Here is a 21580-nt window from a genome sequence, read left to right on the forward strand (position 1 = left end):
AGTTCAGGACTAATAAAAAGTTTGTGCTCAATTGCAGTCTTTCTCCTCAGCACTATGGATTATAACCTGTACTTTCTGTGCCGTCCTTGTTCTTTGAATGGCTTGAGTGTGTCTTGTCTCTTTTATCTTAGGCTTTCTTCAATTCCTTTTGAAAGCAGAAGAAATATGATATAAGGCAGTGTCATGCCCTTAGTTCTACTGTGCCCCTGTGTTAAGGGGCATAATCTACTCAGGGTTCTATGTGCTTCATAAATGCAGCAAATGGTGCTGTGCTTTAATGGTTTTTCCCAGCATCATTCCCAGTTCTTTCCTTTGGTTTGCTTCCTTCTGCCCTTTTCCTTCCCCTTGCTTCATCCTTCTTTCTTCTCTCTCATTCTGTCTCTCATTTTCCCTTTCTCTGGGTCCACTCCTATCTTCCTCACCCTCATTCCCTCAAGACCTCCACTCTCGTCTCAGGTGCCCCCTTTTCTGTTCTGCTGTCTCCCTTCCTCTCTTCATTCTCTCTCACACAGAAGAGTAAAGAGTCAGGGCAGAGGGGAAAAGAGTGAGGGAAATAAGAAGGGGGAGCAGAGAGATACAGCAACTAAGAAAAAGAAAAAGAAAAAAATACCCAGCCCTGGGGCTAAAAGATAGTCACGGTGGTCAGTCACTTTGTCTGGGCTCTCAACTGGTGTACTTACCTCTCCTGCTCAACGTTTGAGCATGTGCCTCTGCTGCTTAATATTTGTGGGGTGAAGCTCCCACCGACTTGGCACAGTGATGATTCCATACGAAGGGAAGGGACGCCAGGGTCTGTGGTTGTTTTTGTACGTTTGTTCTCTGAGCTTCTACTACCACCTACTCTACTTCCTGAAATAGACTTTTCTCTCCTCCTTTTCCTTCTCCTTCTTCTTTCTTTTTTTTTCAGAGTCTTGCTCTGTTGCCCAGGCTGGAGTGCAGTGGCACCATCTCGACTCACTGTAGCCTCCACCTGCCATGTTCAAGCGATTCACCTGCCTCAGCCTCCCCAGTAGCTGGGACTACAGGGGTGCACCACCATGCCTGGCTAATTTTTGTATTTTTAGTAAAGGCAGGGTTTCACCATGTTGGCCAGGCTGGTCTCAAACTCCTGACATCAGGTGATCCACCTGCCTCGGCCTCCCAAAGTGCTGGGATTACAACCATGAGCCACTGCGCCCAGCCTGAAATCAACTTTTCTAACAGTGAAAGAGGGAGCCTACTGTCCACAACTTTGGTCAATAGGGAAACACTTTACTTCCCTAATTCTTTGACCAACCATAGAAAACCTTTAGGCAGATAAAGGATACTAGTTTTCCTTTTTATTTTCATTTTCTAAAAATAAATATTTACCAGGTTACCAAGAAAATACATAAAGCAACAAGTAAAACACCCCACCACCAAAAGAATGTACATTTGGGCTCAGCTAAGATCACAACATCTAGCCATGGACATGTTGACTGGTACAGCCTCCAGGTTTTTGGATGGTTAGCATCCAGATTCTAGTCTTTCTTTCTCTCTCTGTCTGTCTGTCTGTCTGTCTGTCTGTCTGTCTGTCTGTCTCTCTCTCTCTCTCTCTCTCTCTCTCTCTCTCTCTCTCTCCCTCTCTCCCTCTCTCCCTCTCTCCCTCTCTCCCTCTCTCCCTCTCTCTCTCTCTCCCTCTCTCTCTCTCCATTCACCTCTTAGTTTTTAGCATTAGATCTGCATTCCCTCACAGGTTTTTTTCTCTTTCCACAAATGGACCAAAATTCCGGTTGAAAACTCTGGGTGTATCCAGGGTTTGAGAAAATAATTGATAGTTAAATAACTTAAGTGGTTAGTCCTCCCCTGCATGATCCCAACGGAGAACACAAAGGCTGGATAGTTATACGTCAGCTTTTTTGACCATTGACTCCCAACAGGATTTTTCCCTTCTACTATTGAAGTGATCATTTCTCAACTGTTGTCTGTTCTATTGTTGGACTGCTTTGGTTAGAAAGCTGTAGATGCTAGAAGGTTCTTCCCAATATTAAGAAAAATTCTGGAGTGAACTTTCTTGCCTTCTGGTAAATCTAGAGCTATTCTTTGGAGTGACATAAAGCAAGACTCATTCTCCTTTGCTGTCACATGTTTGAAGATGGAATTGTGCTGCTTCTGAGCCATCCTTCCACCAATTAAAAATGCCCCAGTTCCTTATCTCTGCCTTCTGGACAATGTGCTTTTTCAGTATGTCCATCTGAGTATGGGCCTGAAACTGAACATAGTATCCCAAATATGACATTCTGTCTAGCCCAGGGGGGTGTGGTTACTTCCCATTAGACATAGTGTTACTTTCAATGCAAACAAAGTTTTTGCCCTGTTTTAATATATTTGCATCCCACTATTAAAACATCTATATTCTACTAAGATTGTGATAAGCAAAAATCTTCATCCTTTAATATAGGACTTGGTAGCTGGCTGAGTCTTCAGTTGTACTTGTATTATTGATTTTTCAAAAAAATACTACATGTGAGATTTTACATTTATTTCTATTAAATGCATCTTGTGGCTTTAGGATGGTGTTCTGGCCTACAGAGGCCATGTTGATACTCCCAGGAGCACAGACTAGGACAGGACAGGAAGACTATCCAGGGAAAGCATGGCCCAGTCTGGACTACTTCTAGGCAAAAATCTTTGGACTGCGGTTTATGTTATATAGTTGCATCATTATACATCCAGAATATTATGCATATTAAATTATTTTTCTATTTTGGCCAGATATTTATTCTTAAAACACACACACGTAGTAACATAGATTCTTGTTGCAAGAGAGTCAATCAGTATATAAAAATATGCAGAAAAATGAGAATAAAATGAGAAAACTCACACTCCCACCCCTTCCCAGAGTAACCATGGGTACCATGTGCCTTCTATTTATGTACATGCATACGGTTGTACATATAGATAGATAGATAGATCTACTTCATGATTTTAAACTACTGCATGGTATGACCATGACATTATTATTGTCATTACTATTATTATTGAGACAGGGTCTTGCTCTGTCACCCAGGCTGGAATGCAGTGGTGTGATCTTGGCTCACTGCAACCTCCACCTCCCAGGCTCAAGCAATCCTCCTGCCTCAGGCTTCCAAGTAGCTGGGACCACAGGCTCGTGGCAGCATGCCTGGCTAATTTTTGAGTATTTTTTAGAGGTGGGGTTTTGCTATGTTGTCCAGGCTTGTCTCGAACTCCTGGACTCAAGCCATCTTCCCACCTCAGCCTCCAAAGTGCTGGGATTATAGGCGTGAGCCACTGCGCCTGGCCAACATTATTTTTTCAACCATCAACGGCGACTTAGATGGTCATTTGTGTTGTTCTCAACTCTATTATTAGAGACTCCACTGCAGTGATTTCACTTTTCTGTGCAATTCTGAATCCATTTGCAAATGTTCCCCCAGTATCGATTCTCAATAGAAATGCTTGAGCCATAGGGATATATGCATATATGCTACATCCTCACTGTCTTCTAAAAAGGTTTGCCAATTCCCATCTCTATGAACCTTGGCTTTGTACCAAGTAGAATGTACCTAAATACTTTTCCTTCTATAAAGGATGGTTACTTTGACTTAGGTTTGCCAACATGGAACAAAACAAACAAAACAAAAATTTTACTTGTCTTTCAGACCTATTTCTTCTCTTAAAGAATACATATGCCTGTGTTCAGATTATCTCCTCTTCCTGACAAATGAGGGAAATCCCCAGATGAAAGCTGATAAAACATTAGACGGGGGTGATTCCGGACCTCCACATCCCTATGGAACACATCACAGAAGCCAGGATTGGAGAGCCAACTCCACACACCTCCATATCCCCTCTTAGATGAATGGCAATTCTTTACAGGCCGTGGGCGCAGGCCCAAATGCCTTCTGGGCTTGTCTAATCCTCCAGAGGATATCAAAGGCAATACAGCCAGCATACCCAATCATTAGGAGTTTGGCTTCTGGGACCGGGCACTCTTGGGTGTGAGCACCAGCTCTCTTATTTATAAGCTGTAACCTTGGCCATGTTATTTAACCCTTCTGAGCCTGACTTTCCTCACTTGTACAAGACAGGTAATATACCAACCACAGAGGGTGGTTTTGAGGATTAAATGAGATATTGATTGTAAGAAAACAAATAGCATAGTTGATGGCAGAGTGAGCACCCAATAACAGTTAGCCATTATCATTATTACTACTACTTACTAAGTCCTTACTTCTGTCCAGTAAAATCCAAGACATGGCAAGGACTTGAACCTCGCAGGAATAAAAACATGGCCCACTTGGTTCAGCGTGACAGCTCTCAGGGTGGCGTGCCGTTACCCACCTGCAAATTCCTAACAGCCCAAAGTGGCACCAGTCACTTCCTCCTTGCGTTTCTCAGGCAGCACATTGAGTGGCTGCTAGCATCACTCCAGAGCCAGACTGAATCTGAATCTGGCTCTCCTACTTACACCGGAGTGACTTCCATGCTAGAAATCGCTTCTCTGGGTCCAGCTTACACTTAAGTGAATGGAGATGTAAAATGGAGACGATACCAGTACCGATTATGCAGAGTTGTGGTGAGGACTGAATGAACTAATACATGTAAAGCTTTTAGAAGGGTGCCTGGCATGTGGTGGGTGCTCAGGCATCATTAGCTGTTATCATTATTCTGTGGGAGGCCATTTGCCGCTGCCTTAAGAAGGCTGATCTCACAGAAACATCTGCTGTTGGCAGAAGAGCTCAGCACCAATAGCCAATTTGTGTTTCCCTCCAACTCCCAGATGGCAGCTCTGCAGCACTTTCTCCTCATCTAATTTCTCCTCACCCAGACGCGCTCCACATCAGGACCCTTAGGTAGTACAGAGACAGTTCTTTAGGCAGGGGGATGCCATGTTCCCAAAAGAGCCTGATGAGGCCATAGTAGGCCTCTTCCACCAAGCTATGCTTTCGGTCAGTCCCTCTGTGACTGTTACGGATGCTTTGTAGCCCTGTGGCAATGAGGCTCCAGGACAACACTCATGCAATTCCCTGCTGAGGAGAGTTCAGAAAACTCCATGCTGTGCAGTGCAATTGGGAGGAAACTCAAGGGAGTGCTGTCGTGGGACCTCCCGGTGGTGATTTGTACAAATGACGCAACGCTATCCAGCTTCCCAGAAAACACCGCCTTTTTTTCTTACATTACAGCTCTGAGTCAAAGTGTACTGTGGCCTCAGACCTGGGGCATACAGCCCATTTGACAGCCACAATGAGGGAAACAGCCTACTTCTGGAGCCTGTACCAGAAGGCAGAACGGGAGACTCCCAGCTCTCCCTTACTAAAGGCCAGGGAGGAAATTGTCTCGAATGCTCTCCAGTCCAAAATGGAAAGTTAGATTCAATGGTCTGTACTCTTGGGCTGACTAACCTCCGTTTTTCCTTTTCCCATTGTGCTGAGTCAGCCACGGGGGGTGGGTTGTGCATTTTAAGGGTTTGAATGCAGAAGGAAGGAAGGCTTCCCAGTTTCTGAGCCTTGAGAAGGTGGCACTGTGGCCTCCAACCAGCAGCCATGCCCCCAGGCACCTCATTCTCCTACACTATTTCAGGGACTTTCTGGTGCAATAAGGATGTGACTGAGCCCTGAGCCCCCAGGTTACCAGCCACACCCCAGTGGAATCCCGGGAGCTACGGGGTAAAATGGAATCCTCTTCCACAGCAAGTGCACAGAAGGCACTCAGGGCTGGTGGGAACCTCCATTTCTGCCCTCATTTACTCTGGACTCTGAACCTAATACCTGAGGCTTCCTGCAGCAAATCAGAGAGGTGAAGAGCAACTTACACGTATCTTTTTTTTTTTTTTTTTTTTTTTTGAGACAGGGTCTCTCTATGTTGCCCAGGCTGGTCTTGAACTCCTGGGTTCAAGGGATCCTCCTGCCTCAGCCTCCTGAGTAACACATATCACTCAACAAGGAATAAACACCACAACAATTTTGAGTACCACAGTCGGAGCACTGTGTCCTGCTAAATGTGAGGAGCATTCTCTCTGATGTTATCATCATAAGGCCAGGGCCTGTGGCTTAAGCTCCTCCGTTCCCTTAGAGTCTCCCACACCACACAACAAGTTTGGAGACAGAGAAAGTAGCTAATATTTCCCCCTAAGTGCCAGGCACTGTTTTCTATTTTTTACATTGACAGTTTCATTTATTTCTCCCAATCATCCTAAAAATATTGGTATATTTAGCCTGCTTTATATACAAAGGGATTAAGGCTCAGAGACAGTAAACTATTTGCCAAATGTCACAGAGGTTGCAAGTGAGAGGGGTCAGGATTTGAATTCAGGTCTGCAGGCACCAAAGCCCATCTATACCACACCAGTACACATTTGTTGACTCACTGCGTATCATCCTAAGTCTTACAGAAGCCCCACCCCTCTAACTACAGTAACTGTAGAGGTCTCTAGTACTGTTATGCCTATTAGGGACCTGGGCCACCCCACTGCCTTCTCCTGCCCTGTGAGCTGACTCCCTCCAGGAGCCCAAGACCACAACAAGCAAAGCCATCTTGTTGCCAGAGCCTGATGCAACTCACACCCTCTTCCTCCCCTCCCCTTGCAGAATATCCTTGGTATCTGCCCAGCAATTTAATCTCCACAATTTACAATCAAATCTTGGGATGGCTTAGAAAATCTTCCTTTAACACAGTGGCTGGAACATGCAGAGAGTTGGCATGCAGCCTCCACATGGGCTTCATGACTAGATCTGCTACACTCAAACCCATTATATTGAAATTACCATAAAATTCACACTATTCCAATCCTCAGAAATGATGGTTTTATTTAGAAGTAAGTGAGCAAAAGCAATGATTTCATAGGCCCCAGTGCCAAAATCTTAGCTCAATGTTTCTCAAATGTTTTGTTTTCAGAACCTCTTCAAAGTCTTAAAAAATATTGTAGAGTCCAAAGAACTATTGTTTAGCTAAGTATCTATCAATATTTATAATTCTAGAAATTAAAGCTGAAAAACTTATAAAATATTTGTTAGTTCATTAAAAATAATAAACCTAATACATGTTAACATAAATAACATTTTATGGAAAATAACTAGTTTCCAAAATTACAAATATTTAGTCAGAGTGGGCAGTTTTAAAAAATATTGTTACAAATCTCTTTAATTTATGACTTAACAGAAGATAGCAGGTGACTCACATCTGTTTCTGCAGAAAGACCCCCCAGTAAATTTGTAAGAGAATGAGAGTTAGAAATGCAAATAATGTTTTATTCCCACAGCTGTAACCTTGTGGGTTTCCTGGAAAGGGTCTCAGGGGCCATCCCGACGGGGTGCCTGGACCACACTTTGAGAACCATTGTCTAAACTTAAGAGTGTGTTTTTTGGGCCGGGCGCGGTGGCTCACGCCTGTAATCCCAGCACTTTGGGAGGCCGAGGCGGGTGGATCACGAGGTCAGGAGATCGAGACCATCTTGGCTAACACGGTGAAACCCCGTCTCTACTAAAAAATACAAAAAATTAGCCTGGTGTTGTGGCGGGCGCCTGTAATCCCAGCTACTCAGGAGGCTGAGGCAGGAGAATGGCGTGAACCCCGGAGGCGGAGCTTGCAGTGAGCCGAGAGAGCGCCACTGCAGTCCGGCCTGGGCGAAAGAGCCAGACTCCGTCTCAAAAAAAAAAAAAAAAGTGTGTTTTTTGTTTGTGTGTGTGTGTGTGTGTGTGTGTGTGTGTGTGTGTGTGAATGTCTCTTCATCCAAGAAAAATCTAAATGGGCTATTGTCTTGGCGTAGGAAGTAGGTGAGGGTGCGGTGGATTTCAGAAAAAATAATGTCCCAGTTACTGATTTTAAGAGAATAGCCCTGAGACAAGTGTGGGCGCATTGAAACACCACTGCAACCCTCTAAACTATTGCAGAGTTGCCACCACCAGGTGTCTGGCTAGAAAGATGTCATCTTCCCAAGACAGCTACCTGCCCAGATGATGTACCTTAGCCCCAGGAAGGAGGAGGAAGAAGAGGCAGACAGAATGATGCCCAAACCCCTGCGGCCCGGAGACGAGGTAGTGCCTGAGTCAGGAAGCTGGGAGAGCCCAGCTCAGTGGAAGAGGCATGTGGATCCTGGTTAGGTGTGAAGCCAGGAGGGCTTCTTAGCCACAGCCTGAAATCGAAGCCCAGGATCGAGCCACAGTCTGAAATTTTTGGATCGCAGCTCTGCCAATTAAACCAATGGTAACAATAATAATGTACTGTCATATATGTAAGAACTGCCATATATGGAGCATTTTGAGCCAGGCAATGTGCCAAGCACTTGACAGAAATCATTTCATTAATCCCACACAGCCAACCCTTTGAGATAACCATTGCCCTCATCCCTTTTTTACAGACAAATAAAGCAAGGCAGGAAGAGTTGGAATTATCAATCAAGGTCACACACACTATGTTGGTTGAGCTGAAATTTGAATTCAGTTCCGCCGGGCTGCAAAAACTCTCTGCTGCTTCCCAGCTGCACCAGCTAGGCAAACTCCTGCCAGAGGAAATCTCACAGTTGGAGTGCAGTAGGCATAGATTTCTCCTACTTAACTGGGGGGAGGCTGTAGTCACAGCGAAGGGAATATTATTGTGTCCCATGGGAAGAAACATGAAGACGGAGTGGACGCTTCATTCCTACTCCAATCAGCCATCTGGAGGGTTCAGGGCTGAACTGTAGTGGGGGCATCACAAAACTTAGGGAGGTGAGGAGCCTCCCTTAGGGAGGTGACAGCCTGAGTACATGGCCCCCAAGCTTTCAGATCCCTTCCTGCACCCCTCCCCACCTAGCTCTGCACTTGGCATTGTTGCTACTAGCCAGGAAGTCTGAGATCTGCGCAAACCCCGCCCTTCCCCGCCGCCCCCGTAAGCACTACCGTCCCTTCAAAGTTCAGACGTGGGGTCCTTTGGAGCCCTGCTCCCTAGAGGGTCGCCTGGCACATGGCCACCTCCACATCCCGCCCCTTCTGAGCTCAGCCTCCCAGAGGTGTGAACTTCTTACAAACACACACTATCACCCAATTCCCTGGAAAAACAAACAGGACAATTGTGTGAAAATTCCATTCTAAGGCATCCTCCCTTCTCTGTAACCAGAGGCTCCAAGGAGTTCAGCATAGCACGAGCTTTTAATTTGCGTGCAGACAAGCACAAAAGGCACAACCGGATATACCTGTTATTTCCCAATGACCTGAGAGCCCGAAGTTTATGTTAAGCCTTGGGTTATGGCACAGCTTGCACGCAAGGCCCTGCAGCTCCTGCAGGCAATTGAGAGGTGGTGGTGTACAGGACAGAGGAACAACTCTGAAGTGACAGCACATAATTTAATTCCCCCTAAGCTTTCCAAGCATGCAGACTGTTCCTTTTTTGTCAGCGTATAACCTAAGTGATTTGTTCTACTCAGGCAAGAAATGTCTAATTTAAACCACATTGCAGCTAAGCCCTTAGTGAAGAAGGAGAACTCCTTGAGGCTTAGCCGTGCGTGGTTAGGCTGGTGGTAGCTGAGGCAAAGCAGACCTCTTTCAGCCCCTGTATTTCTTACTCAGGTCATGACTGGAGATACGTGGGTTGGGGGGCTCTAATCACCACACTCACTCTTCTGTCTCACACTTCATCCCTCGTGAATGGGTTTAGTTTTAGTAAGAATGTTTACAGGAGAGTGTTGGCTACATGTCCCCAACATCCCGGGTTTGAGTCCCATCTGAGCCACCAGGAGTTGGGTGACTTCAGGGAAACCTCTTAAACTCTAACCATTGTTTTTTCTTCTCTGAGAAACAGGACAAATCGGTAGTGGGGGTGCACAGATTGGCACATTTTCGTGGCAAGCGATCTGGCTTAGGAAGCAAGAGATCTGTGCTCCAGCCTAGCTTTGTTCCCAACTAGCAGTGGATTTGCAGCAAGGAACTTTTCTCTGGGCCTCAATTTCCTCATCTGTAAAATAAGCAGGCTGGATGAAATGGTCTTTGAAGTTCCTTCAGCTATAAAATACTATGTATGTCTTAAATCACTTGGAGTTTGACAAAATAATAGTTATAATAATTTTAATTATTATTGTGATTTCTTCCTACAATCCCAAAGATTTCACTAGCCATGCAAATCTTTTAAAATTCTTCTTTAAAAGTACTTTTCTTGGCCTTACTGACATGAAGCAAAGAAGGATTCTAGGCCCCCAGATGGTAGGATTTGGGGTAGACATTCTGTGTCTGTCTCATTCCCCATGGAATTATCAAATTTCCCCCCTAGCCACGCCAGACTGCTAAATGGTCTCTAAGTATAGCCTACATTTCAAGGCTGTTTCCTCAGCCAAAAATGCCCCTTCTCCTTGTCTGCTGTGAAACTCCCTTCCTTTTACCCTCCTCTTTCCATTATGGGACAGTTTTCTCTTCTGGGCTCCCTTGAGCACTTCACACTATTATTCCATTGACTTCATGCTGTTATTTTTGGTTTTGTATTCAATATATCTTTGCTCAACTAGACCCTCAGGAACTCTGTCATCTGTACCACCCAGCCTCTCCTTCCCAGCCTTCCCCAGCACCTGGTACACATTCATGGAAGAATTAACTTTTGAACCCTGTGGATTTCATCACAATAGGATAAGAATGCTGCATGGGTTTAGGATAGACGTTCACAATCTGAGATGAGCAGTGCTAGCCCCAGTCCCCAAAGGAAACCTAGTTAGGGTGGTGATTAGAGACATTTTGAACAATTACTTCAGGAAAGGATCAAATTCATTGAAAAGCTGCTTATCTTAGTGAAAATGTTGTAACTGTGGAAAGACATAAAAGACAAAATGTTCATAACTGTATCCTTGGAAGTGCCTTTCTTTAAAGAATAGGAATCATCTCACCAAAGTATTTGAAGAAGAATGTGTGTGGTTGTTTGCATGTAGCTGCCTATACTTAAGAATGTTACATATTTCATTTCTCCCAGGATCACTCAGCCTAAGAGAAGAATTCGAGGTTACTTTTAGGGAGGAAAGGACACTTACACTGGGAATTCAATCGATGGTAGTTAAGCGTCCTTTTTCTTTAATAATTGGGATAAGTATGACACATACAACTTTACATAGCATGCTCGGGGAGTGAGGAGAGAAGCTAGAGAAGACTGAGATGAGTGAAATGCAGGCTTGATTGAGAAACTAAGCAGAATTTCTACTAACAGTGAGGATTGAGGGAGAAGCGTTCCTGTAATGGAGGGGAAATGAATAAAACCTCGACTCCCAGCTCGACAGGGACCTTTCTTCTCCTAGCCAGCTGGAATGCAAGCTTTAAAAAAAAAGGAAGTGTGGGGAGGGCTATTTTTTTTAATAAGACGTCTCAGAAATGATCATGAACACAGTAAAGCTGGTTTTCAAAAAAGGAAAGTGAGAAAAGTAGTGACAACTTGAAGCTGGTAGTTGAGGAAGAAGGAGAACTTCTGAACCCATGAAGAGAGTATACCCGGTTTGGGTGGGCAGGACTCCAAAGCCTTTAGGATCGATGGACCAGAACAGAGAAATGAAAATGCAACAAGAACAGCTGTGGGGAAAAGGCAGAAGGGGGGTAGGAAGCGAAGAGGGTGTGTACTTTTCCTTTCTGATCTGAGAAAGGGAAATTTTGTGCTGGGAAGAGTTACGCGGGAGGAGGAAGGAAAGGCGCCAGGAATGCCTGGAAGGTATATGATGTCTGACCTTATGATCTCTTGCAACAATTTCTACACCGATTGTGTCCCTTCACCTCTGCTCTAAAAATGTGGTTAGGTAAATATCTGTTTTATTAACATTGTGAGAAATTAGCCTCGTTTACAGAATTCCACAAAACAACTTGCAATAATGAGAGGCTGCTAGGATGTAGGTGATACTAGGAGAAGCAATGCCTTGTCTGAACCCCCAGGGCTCTGGAGGCACCGCTTTGGGTTTAAAATCTTTCCTTAGTGACCTTGAACGTAATGAAATAGGAGAGAACGTTGATCTTAGAGTAGTAATAGCACAAACCACAGCCTTAATGCCCAGCAGGCTTAGTTCGCTGGAATAATTAGCCTAGGAAATGCATGACTTAAGATGTCCCCACAGTGGCCCCCACAAAGTCTGAAGGGGAAACAAAGAGAAAGCCAGAGAGCCTTTCATAGAAGGGAACCAACTGCGTTTACATGCAAAAGATCCATCTCCTGTGGCTACCTAAGAGCAGTGACTCTCTGGGGGTGGAATAATTTATACATGTGTAAAAACATTTATTTTTCTACATATTTACTTCAAGCATGTGTTAAAATATCTGCAAACAACTCCAGACCCCCTCCCCATCTTATTTTTATCCTAAAGGCAGTGTTACATGGATATCCAAATGTTTAGAGAGGACAATCTTAAATATACAAAAGAATGATAAATAAATAAATAAATAAATAAATAAATAAAAAAAAGATTTCCTAATTTGTCACCACTTGCATGCTGGAAACCGACAGCGCTAACTTGGGTAATATCCTTTTAACTCTGATTGAATTATATGTTAATTCCTTGCGGTGGTCTTAGATTTCAGACGCTATTAGCAAATTATGGAGGAAAAGCAAGATCATATGATTCATGAACTATCACAGCAGCAACAGTTTCTAATTTCCACCCATCCTCTGTGTCATGTGATATGTTTCAGAAACTCACTTAAAATTGAGAAAATAAGCCATTCCTAATTGTACTTAAGTAAGGAAATAGCTCATTTATGAATCTAAGAAGATTAAAGAATATGGCTTTAGTGTGTTTGTTTAGAATCTATGCCAAAATTTTTTTCCGAAGCATAAATCTGGTTTTTTTTCTTTTCCTTAAAAAAAACTTTAATAAAGCCAAAGAAAGAAAGAAAGGAAAGAAAGAAAGAAAGAGGGCTCCACATGCAGTTTCAGCACTAAGGGATCCTGACAAGTAATTCACCTCTGCTTTGAATGTGGGATTTTTGCACTCTATGATATATACCTTTGGAGTGGTTTTGTTTTCTTTGTGGTTTTTTTTTTGTTTGTTTTTTGTTTTTTGTTTTTTTTGTGTGAGACAGTGGATTTTTTTATCCATCATTGCATTATTGGAGTTTTATGTGATTTAATGTATAAAAAGTGAGGCTATTCTCCAACTAGTTGTTTGGGTTTCTGTAAAGTTCAATTTCCACAGTTTACCTCAAGAGGTCTTTTAAAAATGAAATTTCAAGCATGTTGCTTGATATTCTTTAACATGTTCTCAATTAATTTGCAATAAAGTCCAGCCCCCTTCCTATTGCACACTATTGTACCCTTCCTGCCTTTTTCATGCACTGCTCTCCACCCACCCTGGCTTCCCGGCTTTGCCTCCAACGTCAGAGTGATTTCTGGGCTTGCTTTTTTTTTTTTTTTTTTGCCTGGAAACTTCTTCTCTGAAGAACTTTCAAATGGCTGCCTTCTTCATGTATCTCCTCTCGGAGCATCATTCCCTGACCTTCCTTTCTAGGGCTCTGAATCCACCCCATTGCTGTCTATCCAGTCAGTCTCTCTTTTCTAGCTGGCATCCATCACAAGCAATCTGCTTATCTTGTTTTTGGTGAGTTTATATCTGTTTCTACCACTGGATTATAAATACTTCCAGGATAGAGATCTAGTTTATATCACTCACCATTCTCTTCCCTTAGTGCCTGGTATGTAGTAGGTGTTCAATAAATGTGTACTGAAAGAATGGATGAGTGATATGATATTGATCTGTACCTATTTTTTCTTTTTAGTCTATCTTTGTTGAGTTTTGGTATTGATTTTATGTGTCAGTACCTGAGAAGGAGAGAAGTCCTTGAGTTGTTTCGTAAATGTGGCTCAAGTGAGATGCTGAACAGTGCCAGCCATGTGGACTCTGCCACAGTGAAGGAGGAAGGTAGAGAAAATGGGTTCCAGTGTGTGTGTATGTGGGGGTGGGAGGGGTGTGTTGATTTAGGGGTGTACAGAAAATGGTGGTGTGCTTCATGACTTTTTTTTTTAAAGAATGAAACCAGGACATCAACTGAGCATATAAGAGGGGAAAGTGGTGCAGTAGGGTTAAGGCATAATGAAAAGATTTAGAATTATCCTAAAAGAGTAGGAAAGCAAACCACGTAGAGATGTATAATAGAATTCCAGTGTTGAGTTTCCATTTTATCATCATGAATTTGAAGTGAGACAGCTGGAATTTGGGATTTCCCTAACACTTGAGCTGGGAAGGTAAATTGTTAATCACTTTTATGGAGCCAGTGTCCTTTGACCAAGCAATCCTAGTCTAGGAATTTATCCTAAAGACAATTGGACAAGTTTGAGAAAATGCATATACAAAGTCGTTTAACAAAATATTTTATTATAATTGACAACAAATAAATGGAAAGTACCTAAATATTCAGCAATATGGGATTGGATAAATTCTGAAACATACAATGGGATATTTTGCAGCTATTAAAGACTGTCTGTCTATATTCATTGATATGATGAATAGGTATGATGAGTTATTGGTGAAAAAAATGCAGTTTTCAAACTAGCACATAGTGTAAAACCCTTTTTTAAAAGTCGTTTACACTCATGTATTTTAGCATAAAGAAAGACATGGAAGGATGTTCACCAAAATGTTAAATCTTCTCACCCTCTTCTATGTATCTTTTTGAATTGGGTGAAATGTTCTATAATGAGTATTTGAAAACAGAATAAACAGAAAAAAAAAGATTTAATTAGATCCCATTTGTCAGTTTTTGCTTTTGTTATTGTTGTTTTTGGTGTCTTTGTCATGAAATCTTTGCTAGTTCCTATGTACAGAATGGTATTGCCTAGGTTGTCTTCCAGGGTTTTTATAATTTTGGGTTTTACATTTAAGTTTTTAATTCATCTTGAGTTGATTTTTGTATATGGTGTATATGTAGTCTTCTACATATGGCTAGCGAGTTATCCCAGCACCATTTATTGAATAAGGAGTCCTTTCCCCATTGCTGGTTTTTGTCAGTTTTGTCGAAGATCAGATGGTTATAGGCGTGCAGGCTTATTTCTGGGCTCTTTATCCTGTTTCATTGGTCTGTGTGTCTCTTTGTACCAGTACCAGGTGGCTGTGGTTACTGTAGCCCTGTAGTATAGTTTGACGTGATGCTTCCAGCTTTGTTCTTTTTGCATACAATTGCCTTGGCTATGTAGGCTCTTTTTTGATTCCATATAAATTTTAAAATAGTTTTTCTTTCCAGTTCTGTGAAGAATATCATTGATAGTTTGATAGGAATAGCACTGACTCTGTAAATTGCTTTGGACAGTATGGCCATTTTAATGATATTGATTCTTCCTATCCATGAGCATGGAATGTTTTTCCATTTGTTTGTGTCATCTCTGATTCCTTTGAGCAGTGTTTTGTAATTCTCATTGTAGAGATCTTTCACCTCCCTGGTTAGCTGTATTCCTAGGTGTTTTATTCTTTTGTGGCAATTGTGAATGAAATTGCATTCCTGATTTGGCTCTCAGCTTGGCTGTTGCTGATGTATAGAAATGCCAGTGATTTTTGTACATTGATTTTATATCATGAAACTTTGCTGAAGTTGTTTATCAGCTGGGATCTAATGAAACTTAAGAGCTTCTGCACAGCAAAAGAAACTACCAACAGAGTAAACAACAATGATCTACAGTATGGGAGAAAATATTTGCAAACTATACATCTGATAAAGATCTAATATTCAGCATCTATAAGGAATTTAAATTTACAAGAAAAAAGCAACCCCATTAAAAAGTGGGCAAAGGACATGAACAGACACTTTTCAAAAGAAGACATACATGTGGCCAACAAGTGTATAAAAAAAGCTCAATATCACTGATCATTAGAGAAATGAAAATCAAAACCACAACGAGATACTATCTCACACCAGTCAAAATAGCTACTATTAAAAAGTCAAAAAATAACAGATGCTGGTGTGGTTGTGGAGAAAAGGGAATTCTTATACACTGTTAGTGGGAGTGTAAATTAGTTCAACCATTGTGGAAAGCAGTATGGCAGTTCCTTAAAGAGCTAAAAACAAAACTACCATTCGACCCAGCAATCTCATTACTGGGTATATACCCAAAGGAATATAAATTCTTCTACTATAAAGACACATGCACACATATGTTTATTGCAGCACTATTCATAATAGCAAAGACATGGAATCAACCTAAATGCCCATCAGTGGCAGATCAGATAAAGAAAATGTGATACATATATACCATGGAATACTATGCTGCCTTAAAAAAAACCAGATCATGTGCTTTGCAGAAATATGAATGGAGCTGGGGGCCACTATCCTTAGTAAATTCACGCAGAAACAGAAAACCAAATACCTCATGTTCTCACTTATAAGGAGGAGCTAAATGATGAGAACACACGGACACAAAGAGGGGAGCAACAGACATTGGGACCTATTTGAGGGTGGAGTGTGGCAGGAAGGCGAGGATCAGAAGAAATAACTTTTGGGTACTAGGCTTAGTACTTGGGTGATGAAATAATCTGTACAGCAAACCCCCATGACACAAGTTTACCTAGGTAACAAACTTATACATATACTCCTGAACCGAAAATAAAAGTTAAAAGAAAAAAGAAAGACCCATCTGTATAGTGCTCTCTCTCTCTTTCTCTTACTTGGTTTATTCTCTTCCTTATCCATTGCATGCATTAACCCTTTAGAACTTCCGGTGTTCTGGGGACCCTGAAAGATCAGCTAGCAGGATTATTGCGGGGCTCAGTGCAGTGATGCAGAGGCCTCCACCAGCAATCCTGAAGTTGAAAGAGAATATCCACCTCCCTTATGCATAAGGGATAGATTTGGGGGTGGCATTGAAGGTCTTTCTCTCATTTTGCTGGCAGCTGTAGCAATGCATTGATTAGCAGGAGAGGTTTTCTCTCTAATGAGCCAGAAACTAACACTTGTGGAGTTCCTGCTATACACCAGCACTGTGCAGGGTGCTTTACATTTAAAAAATAAATCTGGGCCGGGCGCAGTGGCTCAAGCCTGTAATCCCAGCACTTTCGGAGGCCGAGGCGGGAGGATCACAAGGTCAGGAGATCGAGACCATCCTGTTTAACATGGTGAAACCCCATCTCTACTAAAAATACAAAAATTAGCTGGGCATAGTGGCAGGTGCCTGTAGTCCCAGCTACTCGGCAGGCTGAGGCAGGAGAATGGCGTGAACCCGGGAGGCAGAGCTTGCAGTGAGCCGAGATTGCGCCACTGCACTCTGGCCTGGGCAACAGAGCGAGACTCCATCTCAAAAAAATAAAAAAATAATAAAATAAAAATAAAAAATAAATCTGTTTAATCTTCACAATAATTCTACAACGAAAAAATTGTTATCTCCATTTTATAGCTGAGAAAAAAATGAGGCACAATGAAACAAAAGCACTTGCATAGCACACAATATAGGAAGGAGTGGAGTGAGAATCTAAAGTCAAGTTTACAGCATGCTGTTTTCAAGGCAAAACTACTTTTGATTTAAAATCATATTCTTTTCTCTCCCCAATCTCCTCCAGCTAGCGTTTCATCCGTGTGGATTTGTCAGGAGACAAGGAAAATCAAATTTCCAGCAATGCGTATCTAGTGTTTAACAATCACATCATTACACATGAAAAAAATTTGAAGCTTGTCAGATCACCATTGTATGAAATATTTCCCACTTGGGACCATACAGCTCTGTATTTTTCTGATCAGTTACAATTTTTAGGATCTAGTCTTTATCCCAGAGACCCAGATCTGTGTATTCTGTATTCTTTTGTACCCTGTGTTATTGCTTCACCAAGAGTATACTCCAGGTGATTTTTTTGTGTGTCCTTAATTTTGTCATTTTGTGGTCATTAATAACATCAGTTAACAATAATATTATTATACTGTCCACTACAATGTGCGTTTGTGAGCACTGGCAACAATTTAGCAGAACAGAATGAGTTAGATTCCCAATTGTGGTAGATCACGTGTAGTAGCGAACAGAGCACAGAAACTCCGGATCCTAATTCTTGATTTCCTGGCAGTGATACCTTCCCATTCCATTACATAAGGTATAAGTGGCAGAAGATCAGGGAGAACCACAGGGCTGTAAGATATTTTATAAGTTGTTAAATAAGGGGACACTGCTTTATTTGGGGCATGTCACTCAATCTCTTCAACATTGTGTTAGGTAGGTATCATGAACTAAATTGTGGCCACCCAAAACTCATACCTCGAACCCCGGGTACCTCAGAACATAATTGTATTTGGATATGGAGTCTTTAAAGAGGTAATTAAGTTAAAATGAGGTTGTTAGAGAGGGCTGTAATCTAATATGACTGGTATCCTTATAAGAAGATTGAAAACACAGATGTGCACAGAGCAAAGACCACGTGAAGACACAAAGAAAACAGCCATCTGCAACTCAAGAAGAGAGTCCCAGAGCACATTGTGATCTCTGACTTCTGGCCTCCAGAATTGTGAGACAATGAATTTATATCGTTTAAGCCACCAGTCTGTTGTACTTTGTTATGGCAGCCTGAATGGGCCAATACAGTGAGGTTCCCTGGAAGACTTTCAGATGGGGACTTGCATGCAAGAAGTTTAACAGGGAGAGCTCTCAAGAGCAACCCCCGGAGGGAGAGAGGGAGGAAAGGAAAATTGGGCAGAGAGAGAAGCTGACCTCTGATGCAGCTGCTACAAGGTTCTCAGCTGATCCTAGGGTTCTCAGCTGATCCTACAGGGTGTTCTGGAGCTGGGATGGCCCCGTAGAGTTGCCTGGAATCAAGGCAGGGCCCAGGGAGGGAGATAACCTTGGCAAAGGCAGCTTCCTTCAGCGGGGGAATTCCCAGTGAGGGACTCAATTGTGGCTGTTTGCAGTGGGCACTGGACAGCTGGGGAGTGAGTTTCTCCGCCCTGACGAGGGGTCTGGGTGACATCTCACAGCATCCATCGCAGACCTGCAGCTCCTAGTCTGCAGACCAGGATAAGCACAATGCCTGTGGTGCATTTCCCCGCAGGCGGCTGTGAGGAGCTAATGAGATAATGGATATGAAAATGCTCTGCAAACTGTGAAGACTATCAATATGCTGTTATGCATCATTCTCTGTTATTTGTTGCTATCCTGTCCTTTCACCTTCCCCAGGCCGGAATGATCACATTTTCTCTTTCCCTAGCTTTATTCCTGGGTCACTAGCACAGGGAAAAAATAAGAAGAAAAATCAGAGTGGAATTCTAAAAAACAAAGGTCCTGTGCTTTTCTGCCTAAAATATGTACAATCCTCAGTTGGCACTGTCAGGAATGGGGACCGCCCTCATGGAGAAGTGGCACTTCCACTCCTAGCCAGCCTCTGTGTGAGCTGGACTCTAAGGTCAGGAGAATGAGGAGGCCGTGAAGGTCTTGGCCGTCTCTTTTTCCCCTCATCTCTACTGAGACATAGATCGAGACAGGGACCCATAAATCACCTTGGAGTTAAATCAGGGGAAAAAAGAAAAGCCCTCTCAGGCAACAGCATTTCACAGCAGCAACAGGAAGTTGTAGGGAAAAGAGAAAAGTCAAAACTCAAGTGAAAATCTGAGTCATGGTTCAGAGAGGCCACAAATACCTTTCTTATGGAGAGTCAGAAGAGGGAACACAGAGAAAACTGAGAGGTTTTTTTTTTGTTTGTTTGTTTTGAACTTTTTAAAGGAGAATTTGTTTTTAATCCTGTGAAGCTAGTAAACATCTCTTTAAAGAATGTGTGTGGTCACACAAGTTGAAGGGCTAGAAAATTACCTCCTCACAGCCCAGATGGTTTTAAGTGGGAACAGATAGGAAGGAGCGTGAGTTAAAGCTCCCACCCACACTACAGGACCCTGCTGTTCCAGCCGCTTTCCTCTGCCACTAGCTCAGGAAGAGCGAGGGCTGCCTCTCAGACACAGGGAGTTCCTGCAGGCTGACTTCAGGCACTCCAGAATGAGGTGTCCGTATTTTCCTAAGTGCTGAGGGTCACCCTACCTCCTCCTCTTTTATTAAGATTCTCTGAACCACTCAGAGAATACACAAGTTAAAAATAAATTACTTCGGCAGATAGTGAGGGTACAGAAGTCCTCGGTAAGGTTTTCCTTTTAATGAAAACCAGCCCCAAATACTTTTCCTTTCTAACAAAGAGCAGCCTGTGAAATCAAGCTACAGACATAGATGCCAGCAGAGGAATACTACCTGGGACTAGGCATGTTCAAAATGGCGGTTCCATCTTCTCTTCCTTTTTTTTTTTTTTTTTTTTTTTTTTTTGGTTAGTTAGTTTGTTTTTGTTGTTGTTGCTGTTGTTTGAGACGGAGTCTCGCTCTGTCGCCCAGGCTGGAGTGCAATGGCATGGTGGAGGCTCATTGCAACCTCCACCTCCCAGGTTCAAGCGATTCTCCTGCCTCAGCCTCCCAAGTAGCTGGGATTACAGGAATGCACCACCGTGCCCAGTTAATTTTGTATTTTAGTAGAGACGGGGCTTCACCATGTTGGTCAGGCTGGTCTTGAACTCCTGACCTCGTGATCCGCCTGCTTCGGCCTCCCAAAGTGCTGAGATTACAGGTGTGAGCCACCGCGCCCAGCCCATCTTCCTTTTCTCAGTGCCAGCCACGTGTACATTAAGGAACAGACAACATGGCGCGGGTCAAGTGGAAAGCTCTTTTGCATAGTAAGATGAGGGTGAGGTAGCCAGCCTTCCTCCTGCTATGTAAACATCACACCTAATCGAACTGATCTGTGGGCCCTATGTAAATCAGACACCGCCTCTTCAAACCTGCCTAAAAATTTGGAGAATTCCGCCCCAGCAAGTCTTTCCCTTTCAGAAGCCCCGCTCTCTCGCTAGAGAGAAAGCTGTTCTCCTTTCTCTTTCTTCTGCCTATTAAACCTGCGCTCCTAAAGGCCTCCTTTGTGTCCCTGTCCTAAATTTTCTTGGCGCCAGGTAACGAACCCTGGGTATTTACCCCAGACAACGAAGCCGCTTCAGAATGACAAAACAACAGACATGGGGACTTCTGGCAAACAATAAACCACAAATGAACAGAGAGAGATTAGAAAATAAATCTAATCACAGCAGAGGAGGAGGGGAGAAAATAGCTTCTCTTCCCAGAAACACAGGAGAGACAGAAAGCAGGCTGCCCTGTTCTGCGCCTGCTCCATTCTCCAGTAACATACCGTCCTGGTGTAGTGAGACTTTTCGCATTATAGGGCCCAACTAGAGATCCAGTCATTTTTACTTACGCTGTGAGCCAAGATTCTGAGTAAATGGGTTTATCTTGATTGCAGTTAAAGTATCTGGTTGGGCACATCCTAACATGAATATTATACCAACAATAAAAATCGTGGAAATGTGGGGAAATGTCCACGATATGTTCATAACTTAAAGTAGGTTAGCAGTGCATTGTCAACGTAAATAAAACAGTATATTGAGTGTGATTCCAATATTGAAAAACAAAATAAAGAGCACTAAATCTGCCAAGTTCAAAGACCAGAGTGCCAGATGCAAAATGTTTAATGTTTCTTTCTGTGATGGGATTATTTTTTTCTTTATATTTTTCTGTATTTCCTGATTTTTTTCTACAATAATCATGTTTCTACTGTAATCTGAGATATAAAACATTAGAAAATTTGGTCAGATGAGTTGTTCCAGGATTGTGATTATTTCTCCACAAACAGATGCTCC

The 21580-nt window shown here is 42.7% G+C and overlaps 3 annotated features.

Annotated features, from left to right (window-relative positions):
• Positions 11940-12440: an enhancer, noted in NCBI's record as "OCT4-NANOG-H3K27ac hESC enhancer chr2:38326323-38326823 (GRCh37/hg19 assembly coordinates)". NCBI's record gives its function as "activates a minimal SCP1, AML or CMV promoter by ChIP-STARR-seq in naive H9 embryonic stem cells {active_cell/tissue: H9 hESC(naive)}" and the evidence as "EXISTENCE:reporter gene assay evidence [ECO:0000049][PMID:30033119]".
• Positions 19654-20393: an enhancer, noted in NCBI's record as "H3K27ac-H3K4me1 hESC enhancer chr2:38334037-38334776 (GRCh37/hg19 assembly coordinates)". NCBI's record gives its function as "activates a minimal SCP1, AML or CMV promoter by ChIP-STARR-seq in naive H9 embryonic stem cells {active_cell/tissue: H9 hESC(naive)}" and the evidence as "EXISTENCE:reporter gene assay evidence [ECO:0000049][PMID:30033119]".
• Positions 20394-21133: an enhancer, noted in NCBI's record as "NANOG-H3K27ac-H3K4me1 hESC enhancer chr2:38334777-38335516 (GRCh37/hg19 assembly coordinates)". NCBI's record gives its function as "activates a minimal SCP1, AML or CMV promoter by ChIP-STARR-seq in naive H9 embryonic stem cells {active_cell/tissue: H9 hESC(naive)}" and the evidence as "EXISTENCE:reporter gene assay evidence [ECO:0000049][PMID:30033119]".

This window comes from Homo sapiens, chromosome 2 (assembly GCF_000001405.40).
Source record: "Homo sapiens chromosome 2, GRCh38.p14 Primary Assembly".
Lineage (NCBI taxonomy): Eukaryota > Metazoa > Chordata > Mammalia > Primates > Hominidae > Homo > Homo sapiens.